Source organism: Homo sapiens, chromosome 7 (assembly GCF_000001405.40).
Source record: "Homo sapiens chromosome 7, GRCh38.p14 Primary Assembly".
Taxonomy (NCBI): Eukaryota; Metazoa; Chordata; class Mammalia; order Primates; family Hominidae; genus Homo; species Homo sapiens.
In genome coordinates, this window is record NC_000007.14 from 152219092 (window position 1) to 152233977 (window position 14886).

General features: G+C 36.5%; 1 protein-coding gene across 1 annotated transcript in view; it reads right to left on the bottom strand.

Moving 5' to 3' along the window:
• The window catches only part of KMT2C (lysine methyltransferase 2C), a 301079-nt gene that overhangs the window by 84167 nt on the left and 202026 nt on the right, over positions 1-14886 (bottom strand). Inside the window, exons 17-23 of the mRNA NM_170606.3 lie at positions 11129-11230; positions 10832-10936; positions 5344-5525; positions 4924-5088; positions 3482-3591; positions 2910-2975; positions 1432-1644 (exon numbers count right to left, since the gene is read on the bottom strand). Coding sequence (NP_733751.2) covers positions 1432-1644; positions 2910-2975; positions 3482-3591; positions 4924-5088; positions 5344-5525; positions 10832-10936; positions 11129-11230 — 943 coding nt within the window. The remainder of the gene's footprint in view (positions 1-1431; positions 1645-2909; positions 2976-3481; positions 3592-4923; positions 5089-5343; positions 5526-10831; positions 10937-11128; positions 11231-14886) is intronic.

Sequence of the window (14886 nt, forward strand, 5' to 3'; positions counted from 1 at the left end):
CCCGAGTAGCTGGGATTACAGGTGCATGCCACTGAGCCCGGCTAATTTTTGTATTTTTAGCAGAGAATGGGTTTCACCATGTTGGCCAGTCTGGTCTCGAACTCCTGACCACAAGTGATCTACCTACCTCGGCCTCCCAAAGTGCTGAGATTACAGGCATGAGCCACTGCGCCTGGCCAGGCAATTCTTATCAAACTTTATTTTTACCATGGGACTTGCCAAACACATTATAATTAACTGATTTTTTTTAAGAGTTGGGTTACCTAACATTAAAATATAAACTCTATGCAGAGAATTCTACCTGCTTTGTACACTGATATGATTTCCAACATCTGACATACAGTAGATATTCAATAAATTCTATTGTCTCAAAGCCAGCTGCAGTGGCGCATGCCTATAGTACCTGCTACTTGAGAGGCTGAGGCAGAAGGATCACTTGAGCCCAGGAGTTGGAAACCAGCCTGGGCAACGTAACAAGACACTGCCCCTTAAAAAAAAAAAACAAAAAACTATGAAATAAAATATAATCAAACAAATAATTATCACTTCATTTCTGAATCAGTTGAAAATAAATAACCGCCCCAAAAATGAGCAAACCAACAGTAATCCTCTTTAACTCATATTGGATTTTGGGTTACTATTAAAATATTTTGCTATCTCAAGAACTCAGCAGGCTGAGCAGAGCAGATGGTTTGAGCCCAGGAGTTCCAGACCAGTCTGGGCAACATGGCAAAACCCCATCTCTACAAAAAAATACAAAAATTAGCCAGGCGTGGTGGCCCGCATCCATGGTCCCAGCTACTCAGGAGGCTGAGGTAGGAGGGTCGCATGAACCCAGGAGGCAGAGGTTGTAGTAAGCCAAGATCGTGTCACTGCACTCTAACCTGGGCAACAGAGCAAGACCCTGTCTCCCAACTGAAAAAAAAAAAAAGAATTCAGCTAGAAAAACCTTATATTTACTTTGATCAAGAAAATGTTTATAAACCAATACTTTATGATGCACACTGGTGAATATGAAGTTATACCTGAAGTAACATTAAATGACAGCTTTTCCATTTCTAGAATGTATGCATCAACTACCTTAACTGAAACATGGTATTATCCAAGCTCACAGTATCTGAGAAGGTTTGTGTCGTTATCTAGCAAACTAAAGTCAAGCCCTCTGTAGTTCCCCACCTGTGATCTTCAAAGATATGGTGCTCCTTGAGATTTCTGTAAGGTAGGTCTGTTCTAAAATGTGTGAAAGGAAGAGAACCTGAAAAGGCAAGGTCTAAGAAGATCACTCATTTGGAAATGGCAAGGGTCAGTCACATCAGGGGTTAACTAAGTCAGTGTGATTTACCCTTTGGTAAATCATACACATATTTCAAAAGTTACTTTATATGCTTTAATTCTTGCACACATATTTCATGGAAAATAAATTAGTATTACCTCGACTATCATCCATTTCACCATCCCTTGAATGCTCTGATTGGATGTCTGGAGGGGTCTGAAGGACGGCCACGCTATTCTGATTTATAATCTTCAATTTCAATTTTGGTTTTGACCGTTTTCTTCTTGGAACTGTAACTGTGAGGCTCTGTAACTGAGTCATCCCTGATTCAGTCAAACACACACCATCCTGGGTATAAGTCTTGGGTGGGTCTAAAATTACAAAATCCCAAGGATACAAATTTAAACTTTCATTTCAAATTTGACTGATTACTGTTCCAAAATACCCATGTCAAGGGAATGTGACTGTAGTTCTAGAAAGCAATTACGTATCTATGAAATGCATGAATAATTAACTTCATGATACCCAATAAAAACTATGAACAATAGGTCAAATTTCCTTGGATTACAGGCAGAAAGGTTGCATGTTTTTAAAAAATGGTCTTCCTGGGCCAGGTGCAGGGGCTCATGCCTGTAATCCCAGCACTTTGGGGGGCCGAGGCGGCAGGCAGATCACGAGGTCATGAGATCGAGACCATGCTGGCTAACACAGTGAAACCCTGTCTCTTCTAAAAATACAACAAATTAGCCAGGCGTGGTGGCGGGCACCTGTAATCCCAGCTATGCGGGAGGCTGAGGCAGGAGAATCGCTTGAACCCGGGAGGCAGAGGTTGCAGTGAGCCGAGATCGTGCCACTGCACTCCAGCCTGGGCGACAGGGCGAGACTCTGTCTCAAAAAAGTCTTCCTGGAATTTCTATTTTCATGTCCCAATAAAAAGAGTTAGAAGCACTGCAACTAAATGCAATGCTCAGCTAATCCACTATGAGCTTCTTCGTAGAAAAGATCAAAAGGCAGGGATCTATTTACGTAAGAGAAGAGAGAATACTCCAGAAGCTCATCTGGAAAAATCAGAGTATCAACATAATTACTAATAGGGAGAAGTAATAAATAAGTACAAATCCTGCAGATTTAATTTTAAATGTACAAAACTGTTGTTCCTTAGAACAATTCCTGTACTATCCAAACATTTTTGTATCAGGTGCTATTAAATACAAATATTCAAAAGAATGACTGTTTAATAAGAATATCATATGAATCACCATACTAGGCTTATTAATTATTTTAAAAATTAAGAGATTGAATTAATTCTAAAAGAAATCTGTTCGCTAACTAGGCCGTGTTTTCTGCTAACTGATAATTAAGCACAGTAATATATCAATGAAACTAAAGCAAGTATGGCATTAATGGTTATTCTAAGAGCTGTTATTTTTGTTGCCTACTTGCTGAAATTTATAGGAATACTGCCCCAGTAAAGCTGGATGACATTTTATATATCATTGTGGAAATGATTACCAACATTACAGAATTTGGATAGAACACCCATATGATTGAAGCAGGTTTGACAAGTGGTAAGCCAATTATGTAAAAATTAAGCAAAGTAAATTAATTAAATCAAGTAAAGCATTTCAAATTTTACCTAGCTCTTTTACTTTTGTGACAATTTGTGCTACAAGTGAAGATTCACAGCAGTCTGAGGAAGGCACTGAAACGAAAAAAAAAAATCCAGGTAATTCTTTTCAGAAAAGGTAAAGTGTATTTAAATACTTATATATGATTATAATTTCTGTTTCTATACTCATTTTATTAAAATAAATGTTTGAACACTAAAGTTAAAAGTGCTTTTTAAAGCAACAACAAAACAAGAAGTGATGAAGGAAATACTCAAGTCATGGAGGAAAACCTGGCTAAGAAACAATCAACATATTGGATTCTGACATATTGTCAATAACTACAAGATCATGTTCCTTGGAAGCAAAATTATAGTTTACATCTAAAGTATATGCTTTTTATTGTTTCATGTAAATTGTTTTATAACAAGTTGTGATAAGTCATGTATAACCAAAAATAATATTTTTCATAAAATACTTGTCAAAGTAAGTTTCACAAAGACAAAATAGAGTAGAGCTAAGCTAATTCATTGGTTATGGACAGTAAGGTGCAAGTGAGTGGTACAAGAGTGCAGACTCACAGTTTAAATTATTCTCTTACCATTAGACGCAGGCATATAGGGTCTGCACATGCTACAATCAAAACCAATGTCTGCTACATTTTCCACTTCTTCCTCAGTATTTAAGTTCTGACAAACTGCATGCATCCATCTAAAAAGACCATATTTGTACATTTTTTTTAAAAAATGGAATATACTGAGAACTGCTACCTTTTAAAACCTGTAACACTGAGTCTTCAAACTTAAAAGCCCTAAGCCTCACATGCTCCTCCTACCTTGCCCTTTTCTCCTAACTATCTCTATTAACAGAAAAACTTTCATACAGCTAAGAAGGAAATAAAAAGGAATGAGAACAACTATTAGAGAGGAAGCAAAGCACATTACATAAGGAAGCTAATTATTTTATCATCATATATTAAATATTTCAAAGACAGAAAGGAAGCTAGTTAGGGCAAACACAAAGGTATTCAGAAAACTGCAAATGGCAGTGCTAGCAGGTATGTGCTCCAGGTAATGCATCTAACTTGAAGTAGACATATCTCACGGAAAGCGATGTTGAATGGTAATCGGGAAATTAAGTAAAAAGTTGTCTTGCAATGGAACAAATAATTAGTAGCCAGAGTCCCAAGAATACTGTACTACTGATAAAATAATACTATTAATAATATATGTTCACTTCTTAACTTCTAAAGAGTACAACAATATACCAATGAAAGCAAGGAAACATTCTTGATTATGAAATTCCACATAATTACGTAGGGAGGGCAGAAGGTGCTATCTAATATCTAGATATCTAGTATCTAGAGCTTTAAGAAAAAGTGGTTTAAGGAGAACAGAATGTGTTAGATATTTTTTATAATCTATTAGAAGATTCAGAAACCCTTCATAAGAAACGGCATAGATGAAGGCAATAATTCTCCATCTAATTTCAAGGGATTCCTAAACCCTCAAAAAGGCCTAAATTAAAAATCTTTAGTCTTGGGCGGGCACAGTGGCTCACACCTATAATCATAAAACTTTAGGAGGCTGAGGCGGGCGGTCAAAAGATGGTCAAAAGATGGAGACCATCCTGGCCAACATGGTGAAACCCTGTCTCTACTAAAAATACAAAAATTAGCTGGGCGTGGTGGCATGCACCTGTAGTCCCAGATACTCGGGAGGCTGAGGCAGGAGAATCGCTTGAACCCAGGAGGCGGAGGTGGAGGTTGCAGTGAGCCAAGATAGCGCCACTGCACTCCAGCCTGGTGACAGAGCAAGACTCTGTCTCTAAATTTAAAAACAAAACAAAACAAAATTTTAGTCCGGAGTTGAGAATTCAAAACAGGAAATCGCTTCTGTAAGTTTCTAGGTGACTAAAAATCTACAAGGCAAAAAGTTCTGTACCTAAAACTTGTGATTAAGGAAAAGCTATTTTCCATTTGTTTTTTTTTTTGCTACATTTCAAAGAGAAAAGCTTTAAAAAGATGAAAAAATAGCACAATACCTATCACATTGTCTACATTGCAGAATAAGATCTTCTTCTCTATAGTTTCGATAGCAGACTGGACAGGAAGATAAGCTTGCACAAGGAGCGCACTGTGTGTAATTGTTCTGCCATTCACATCTTAGACCTGCAGATGTTGCTCCACAGTGTCTGCACCAAACACACCTGAAATCCAAATCCCCCCGAAAAGTCTCAATTTTATTTTCTTAGTTACTCAGTTACTGTAATTCAGGAAGCTACATACGAACATAATGGGGGAAATGATTTAATGTGTATGTGAAAATTTTTCTGATTACTGGTATCTATCATAGAATATGTGTATTATTCAATTAAATAGGTGTGGCTAATTTTTAAAAACCAAAGTGGTATGAGAAAGCTCTGAACTTGAAAGACTAACAAGGCAAACAAACCCTAGAGTACCATTTGCACTTCCAGCCTCCTTTGGGAACTGTCTGCAATGGAGGGTCTAGGCAGTAGGTGTGATAACTTATGTCACAGTCATCACACAGCAGGAGTCTTCCTGGGTCAGTTGCCTTCCCACAGGCCTCACACACAGTGCACTCAAGACACCTCCAACCTTTGCTAAGAACCACTTTAGTGATCTGTAAAAGAAACAACCAATCCATGTGATTTATGCATTAACCTAACATAATCAAATATACTATATAAATTAATATGGTGCTTATGTACCTAGAAGCAGAAAAGAGGCAATCAACTAACATTTATTGAGCACCTACGGAGGCCCAATACTGGGTTGGGCATGTTCATACACGCTTTTAGAAGCCTACTGAGCAGAATAATAGAAAATGGCACATATTTTAACGCCTTTTTAAAGTCCACATAATTACCTTATGCTGTACATTTAATGTCCACTATATTTATAGATATAGTGACCAGATTTTAAAGAAATCAAGTAAGCTTCCCTATTATTGATACATAATTTGAAAATACATCAACAAAATCTCCATCTACATTTCCATGCTTAGAATCAATAGAAAAAATACCAAAAAAATTAATGTAAGGCATGAGTTCTTAGGGACATTTTATGATCTTAGAGGATTTCTATTTAGACTATGAAGCTAGGAATTCTGAAGTTCACATTCACTCCTCTGTTTATTCTCCCCTCTCTCAAGGGTATAAGTTAGTAGAATATTTGGGAATCTCCAAATCCCTAATAAACTCCTGAAGGAAGCCACACCATGTAATATTAAGATTGTGGAACTTCTTAAAGATCTCAAAAGACTAGGATCCTCAGACAGAACCAATCAAGTGCCCACATTATAATAAAACAGCAAGTAATGAGGGTACAGAATAAAAATTCAGATCATGAGGTACATGAAAGCCTAAAAGCTACCAGAGAAGAAAATAAAAGAGTTAAATTCAAAGGAACACCCATCAGAATGGCACCAAACTTCCCAACTCCAGATGCTAGAAGAGTATAAGTTTCCAATTCTACAGGAAAATACTTTTCAAAGTACAATTCTCAACCTAGCTACACAAGCAACTATGTGTGAAGACAGAACACGTTGTAGACACAGGAAGACTCAAAATTCAGCTCCCTCATTCTCCTTTCTAATAAAGTTACTTAGAGATATGCGGAACAGAATGAGGATGTATTATAAAGAATAGGAAGACTTGGGATCTATAAATCAACAGATCCAACAAAGGACATCAGGCCAGGAAGTTTAAGGATGAGAACAACATACCTAGAAGCCACTGGCACATATCAGAGCAGGAGAAGGGAATGTCTAGAAGGAGGGTAGGACTTCTCCCAGAAAAAAACAGTACTTTAAAAACTAATCTTATATGATAGTTCTAGAGTAGGCAAAAACAAAGAACGAATGGAGAGTCACTATTACTTTCTTGTTATAAAAAACTCCATGAAAGACAAAAGAAACTCATAGTATACTGTTTAGACCTGCAGTGAACATTTACTGAGTCATAACCAACACCTTATTAATTGAACTAAACATAGTAATACAACTATATTGGGAGAAGGATGGAGGTGTATTTTAAGACCTAAATCAGAATTTATTTATTCATAGCAGAAAGTCAACAAAATCTAGCATTGATAAAGCAGTAAACCAGTTGATTATTTAGAGCTATAGCATTAACCACAAGAAAAAAAGACCTGAAAAGATTAAAAGCGACTGCCTCAGACGTGGAGGTAGAGTAAGACAAGAGTTGGTTGTTCATTACAAGGCCTTTTTTTTTTTTTTTTTTTTTTTTTTGAGATGGAGTCTTGCTCTGCTCTGTTGCCTAGGCTGGAGTGCAGTGGTGTGATCTCAGCTCACTAAAACCTCCGCCTCCCATGTTCAAATAATTCTCCTGGCTCAGCCTCCTGAGTAACTAGGACTACAGGAATGAGCCACCACACCCAGCTAATTTTTGTACTTTTAGTAGAGATGGGGTTTTACTGTGTTGGCCAGACTGGCTTGAACTCCTGCCCTCAAGTGATCCACCTGCCTCGGCCTCCCAAAGTGCTGGGATGACAGGTGTGAGGCACCACACCCAGCCCATTACAAGGCTTTTAATGTCATTTGATTTTTAAACATGTATATTTATTATTTTGATTAGCTTATTGATTTTTAAGAATTTGTCTTAGATTACCAAGTTAATGTATTATTTGCCCAAATGAAGGAAATGGCCTAGGGGTAAGATCAGGGTGGCTTATGGCAGTAGCCAGCAAACATTTCCAATAAAGGGCCAGAGAGTAAACAGAAAGTTTTGAGGGCCATATGATCTGTTGCAACTTTATAAAAACTCTGCCAGTGTAATGCAAAAACCGCTACAAATATATGTAAACAAAAGAACATGGCCATATTTCAATAAAAGTTTATTTGCAAACACAGGAAATGGGCCAGATTTAGTCTATGGGCCAGTCTGCGTGACCCTGGCTTAAACAATGACCTGAAGATAAAGTGGCAGACAGATCTGAGGTGTTCAGTGGCAGAATTTTAAAAATATTTATCTTCATTCCTACTAAGTTTTCTTCACAGATACCTGTGGTCCCTTTTATAACCAAACTCTCAAGTTTCTCAGCTTATATTCACTCTTCAAAACACTACAGTCTGGTCTCTACACCCACATCCACTCATAACTGCTTAAGCCAGGCTTGTCAAGACCTTCTTATTCTCAAATCTAATGGAAACATTAGTGTTTGTGTTTCTTGACTTCTAGTACTTCAACACTTCAACAATTTCTCCCTCTTTGAAATTTCCTTTTAACCTAGGTACTGGGGTTGTACTATCATTTTTTTCTTCCGTTGAACCAGTCTAGCCTTAGTTTTAAAAGTTTTTTCAAATAAGATGTCATCCAGGATTCCATCCATGGTACCATGTCCAAAGTTGTTACAGATATGTTTTATAATCTAATACGGATACACGCTTCAACTATAATGGAGTAGGTGGGACCAGCCTGTTCTCCCATAAGATAGTAGAAAATGGGACAAAGTGTATGATACAACTGTTTTCAGATATTGGACAACACATAGTACAGGAGACAGTGGTCTCTGAGAGGAAGGAAACACTCAGGGAGTCCTATGATATTCTGCCTAGAAACATTTTCCAGAATGCTGCCCAGGGAGGGAGAACCTCAGCAGAGTACAATCAATGGCCTCGCTGAGGTTAGGGAAGGCAAGGCAGTGGAATTTGCAGGACACAGTACTCAAAATGAAGAAGCAATAACGACTAAGAGCTCCAGAAATCTACAAAGGATCCCCTGAAGTCTTTGGTGGAACACCAAGCCGTACTTCTAGAAGCCCAAAGACCCACAACCAGGGGAAAGTACATCTACTGGGAATTTGTAAGCTGCACAATTACCACAGCTTGCAAAAGGCTCAAAGACAAGTGAAGCACAACCAGTCAGAGTACAAAGACACTGGTGAACAGGGAGCAGAATTCAGTAGTGATCCCAGAAAGGCCAAGTCTTAAGTATAGGGTTAAATTAATGCTAGGACCGCAGCTACCAAAATGTGGTCTAGGGAACCCCAGTGAGTCTGTAAAGTTAAAACAAGTTTAAATAATACTAAGATTTAATTTGCCTTTTTTCACTTTAATTCATTCACAATTATACAGTGGTGTTTATAGAGGCTACATGTTGTATCATAATATTACATTGATATTGTACAGGTTGTGCTTCTGTAGTCTTGTGTTATAAAATGTTCCTAGTTTTAATTTCTAAAATGCTGAACAGTCCATAGTTAAAATCCTCATAAACAAAAACTATGGAGTCCCCAGTAATTTTAAAGAGTGTTAAGGTTCTAAAACCATAAAGTTTGAAAATATCCACCTTAGAGTGAAGACTTTCTAGACTTGCCCCAGCAAGCTTAAAAAGAAGCTTCAAAGGTATCAAACTTATCCACAAACAATTGCCTCCTACAATAAAAATGCAAGCTGAGCCAATTCACATATCCCTAGTATATTTCTAGATACTGCTGTATTTCTCAATGAGACTGCAGTATTCTATACTGTCCAAAACAGTGTCATCGTGCAAAAGGAACCATACATAATTTTTAAAAACAGGAATTCAAATTCTAGCTCTACCAGTAACTATGTGTTTGATAGTGCACTAATTGTCCAATCTTAACTTATGTAAGTCGTACTCATCTGTAAAATGGGAATTCGGTAATTGTTGGATGGGTTAAAAGAAATACATTACTATCTTGAAAGGGATCTTATTCAATTTCCTTAGGTCCAAAACATTAAGTATTCTAAAAAACAAAATCTAATGATAGCAGCAACTTTTATACAGAATATAAAGTACAAAGAAGAAAAGAAACATGTTTTATGCATATATAACTCTATTTTTTAATTGGCTTTATATACTCTGTGTTTTTCAGTCACATACCATGAGCAACTAATTTTAAAAGACTACATAAATTAACCGTACTAGTCTTCTATTTTGGATAGTATTAATTACAATCTTTCATTTTGATTCCTAAACTCACAAAAACCTGTATTACCCTATAAAATAAATACTAGTGTAGTTATCAACAAAGAATTCTGAAGGAGATAATGTTGATTTGCTTACTATACTGACATTTTACTGACAATGATATAATACAGTGATGTTTGAAGGGCAGGGGAGAAAGGTATAAAAATCACTCATGGTTCACAACCTGTTACTGAAACTGAGGTTAGTATTTATATTACATGGTATGGCAGTACTAGAAAAGATTTCCTTGTGGAGTATACAGTTTAAGACCTCTGCTGTACAGCTATACCTCCATGCTTGCTTCCAGTGGCCATGACACTTTATTCAAATATGTAAGTTTTATTAAGACTGAGTTCTTAAAAAGAAAAAACCAAGAACCTTAGATACAACTAGTGAAGTATTGAGACCTGTCCATATTTAAAACCAAGCACACGATACCACTTAAAAGGTTCCCCAGAAAGCCTCTATCCTGAAATGCTTCAAAGTGAGCAGCGCTGACTCTCGATTATTACCAATTGCATTAAATATGACACTTGTTTTGTTTCTTTTGGCTATAAGGAGAAAATGTCATTTTGTATACGAGTGAGCATAGAGGAGAGAGAATGCGGGAAAGAACAGAATGGGCTAATAATTTTTTACTAAATATTCCAGTTCTCAGCTTTTTAAATCAGCAGACAAAATGAATTAGCTAAACCTAAAATCTTTGTGAATACTATAAATTGTCTTTTAAATTAAATGCATATATTTTTATGTTTTACTTTTTCAAGACAAGTATATTGTACAATATAAGATTTATAGAGGAGCAAATTTCTTGAGATAGGAAACCCTTAAAAGCAGTATTTTAAGTATTTAAATACTGTCACATATGTTTAATAATCATAATACTTAATTGTGAGAACTGGGAGCTCATGTTACTACTAAAACCAAATAAAAATTCAATACATATTTGTTAACTCAATTTAAGGATGTTTACCTTAATACTGACACAGTATGGATGGTAACACTGACCACACTGAGAACAGGCAAGTAATCTTCCTTCTGCTCCTTGGCCAAAACTGCCACAAACTACACACATATCCTGAAGTTAAGAAAACAGAACATATTTTAAATGGAGACTAAGCTAAAAACCTACAAATTTTACTTTAAAAATACCTTCTTAACTAATATAGCTCTATAGCTAAATATTGAATGACTTCTGTGTATATGAGATAAAGCAGAAATGTGCAAGGAGGAATTCAATGAGGAAGACAGTAAATTGTCAAGTTCAAACCTGATTCAAAGTGAACTTGTCACTGCTAGAAAACAACACAACTGTATTGTGCATAGAGTTTTCTTCATCATCCTTATTTGATGAAATATCTGCAGTAGACACCTATAAAAAGCAAAATACACAGAATACGAAGTTATATTTTTCACTTGTTTTACACTTAACTGGAAAGCTTCAGAAAATTCATAATCAAAACATATATTTTGGCTAAGGTCTAGAATAACAATTCCAAATATTAATGCTAAGATACTACCGTAAAATGGAGTCGTGACATTTTATTATTCACCTAATTCTCTCTTTAGAGGTAGAATTCCTATAGACCAAGAAGTAATGAGAAAATATAATAAACCTGTCTTAGTAAGACTTGATTATGCAGAATTCTAATCAGGAAACTATAAATGATAATATATGTATGTACCCACACAAATCTATCACTATTTTAATGACACACACTTGGGATCTGCAATGTAGCTAGTCTGAACTGAGATGTCCTGCAAACATAAAATACAGCACATAATTACATATTACGTGTTGAAATGGTAATATTTTAGATATATCGGTCGAAATGGAAGGCATTAAAATTAATTTCGCCTGTTCACTATAATCTTTATTTTGTTTTGAGAGGAGTTTCACTCTTGTTGCCCAGGCTGGAGTGTAATGGCGCGATCTCGGCTCGTTGCAACCTCTGCCTCCTGGTTCAAGCTGTTCTCCTGCCTCAGCCTCCCAGGTAGCTGGGATTACAGTTGTCCACCGCCATGCCCAGCTAATTTCTGTATTTTTAGTAGAGACGGGGTTTCACCATATTGGTCAGGCTGGTCTCTAACTCCTGACCGCAAATGATCCACTGCACCCAGCTCACTGTAACTTTTTAATGTGGTTACTAGGAAGTTTTAAATTGCATATGTGGTTCTCATTATATTTCTATTAGCACTGCTTTAGAATATTATTTTGAATAACATCAAAATTTCAGTATTAGCCATATGATTATCAACCAATATTGCTCAGTCTGGACTTAGTTCTATTTGACTAAATCAACTAAGTACCCACTGGTTTGTTAATAATTTCTAGAGTGATTATGAAACAAAACAAAGCTCTGAACTAGAAGCTGTAGAAGAAGACAAGGAGGGCATTGCCAAAATCATAAAATACAATCCTCTTTCTTTAAAAAGCTTACAACCTAAGCCTGGAAAGACAGAGTTGAAACACAACAGGTTATGTTCAAGGTCAAAACATAAAACAACTGAATTACTTTTCTTGAGGAACAACTGAAAGAAGATTAACCAGCTGGGTGTGGTGGCTCATGCCTATAATCTTAGCACTTTGGGAGGCTAAAGTGGGTGGATCGCTTGAGCTCAGGAGTTCGAGACCAGCCTGGGCAACACGGTGAAATCCTGTCTCTACCAAAAATACAAAAAACAGCCAAGCGTGGTGGCACACGCCTGTAGTCTCAGCTACTCAGGAGGCTGAGGCAGGAGAATCACTTGAACCCAGGAGGCAGAGGTTACAGTGAGCCAAGATTACGCCACTGCACTCCAGCCTGGGTGACAGAGCGAGACCCTGTCTCAAAAAAAAAAAAGAAGGAAGGAAGTTTGGTTGGTTAACTAAACAGAAGGACTACATCTCAGTATTTTTCAATACAAATACATTTAAAAGCAGTTTTTTTGTTTGTTTGTTTGTTTTTGAGACAGAGTCTCACTATGTCGCCCAGGCTGGAGTGCAGTGGTGCAGTCTCGGCTCAGTGCAAGCTCTGTCTCCCAGGTTCACGGCATTCTCCTGCCTCAGCCTCCCGAGTAGCTGGGACTACAGGTGCCTGCCACCATGCCTGGCTAATTTTTTGTATTTTTAGTAGAGATGAGGTTTCACCATGTTAGCCAGGATGGTCTCGATCTCCTGACCTCATGATCTGCCCACCTCAGCCTCCCAAAGTGCTGGGATTACAGGCATGAGCCACCGCACCCAGCCTAAAGGCAGTTTTAATGGATAGTACTAATGCTTTATAAGAGCAATTTATAGTCATATGAACCCTAATGACTACAAGTGTTAATAATGCCAATATTCATCATTAGGGAGTAAGTAAAGCAATGACAAATCCAAACATTAGAAAATTACGCAACATTTTAAAAGTAGGGAGGTAGAAACTTGTATAGACTGCCATGAAAGAAATTATCAAAAGACGTTGTTGAGTGAAAAAATAAATTGCAGAACAGTATTTGAGGTATAGCACTATAATATAAAAACATGCAAAGTCATTATATGTAGTCTATGGGCATATATAATAGGTTGAATCATAAGAAATTGCTGCTTTTCATCAGTTCAGAAATAATATTGGCAATTTCATATGGATCAACCTAATATATAAATATACCAAACTGATAACAGGGAAATAAGAAGGACTGAGGAGTTAGTAATGGTAAATTCTGATCTACCTATAATGCTTTAATTTTTTTTAATAGAGAAAATGTATTGATGTGTTACATGCATAGTATTAACAAAATCAGCTTTCTAAGATTTTAGAGAATCATCCAAGATGATTCACAAAAGTAGAATCATCATCATCAGTAAGAAATTAAGTGACTACTAAAAGTAATCATTAATTCAGTCATAGAACTAATGATGCATTGACAAGACTATTGAGATATATAATTATGGAAATGGCTAAAATAGAGATAAAGTATCTATTTCTACCTCCCAACCACTAACAGAAAATTCAACACATTATACCCACTGAGCAGCTCAAAGAAATTGTAAAGATCCATTATTATTTTTAAAAGGAAATTTAACCAGTGAACGCTTTCACTGAAAATGATAAACAATATATTCCCAGTATAAACCAGAAACAAAGTCTGCAGTAGAAAACTACAATGTCCCTAGATTCAAGTGGGGGTGGGGAGTCATACTGTCATATTTAAATAATAAGTGCAGAAAAACCAAAATATTTTAAAATAATTGTCCATGCAAGAAAGAAAATAGTATCATCTAGCTTGAAGACCCACTGTTTTTATTTTATAATTTATTTCATGACCGTTAGACTGCTAGAAAAATAAAACCTACCTTGAGGGCAAAGGTAATCTTTGAGAAAATACGTGCTATTGTTGCCTGCATAGATAATAGTGTGATTTATCCAGAAGGTGATAGAAATTTCATTTTCCTAGACCACAGATATGAGCCAAGGAGAATAGAAAGTTCTGACCTAAACTTCACAAGTGTCCCTTCCAAGCAGGGACACGTAAGAGTAAACAAAAAAAGAAGATCAAATTAAACTCAAAGTGAGAAGATAGGAAAAAATAAAGATGATAATAAAAATCAATAAAACAGAAAGGGGAAAGAAAATAGACAAAAGTCCATGAAAACAAAGGCTGACTCAAGAAGGTCAATAAGATTGATAAATCTCTAGCCAGACTGATCAGGAAAAAAATAAGACAAGATGCAAATTATTAGTATCAAGAATGAGGAAGGTGAAATCATTACAGATTCTACAGGTATTAAAATAATAAGAAACATTATGATCAACTCCATTCCTTTAATTTGTCAAGATAGACAAAATGAACAAATTTCTTGAAAGATGCAAATTTATGCAAGGAGAGACAGATAACCTAAATAGGTACCTATTAAAGAAATAAAATTTGTTGTTAAAAACTGTCCCACAGGCTGGGCACTGGTGGCTCATCCCGTAATCCCAGCACTTTGGGAGACGGATCATCTGAGGCCAGGAGTTCGAGACCAGCCTGGCCAACATGGCAAAACCCCATCTGTACCCAAAA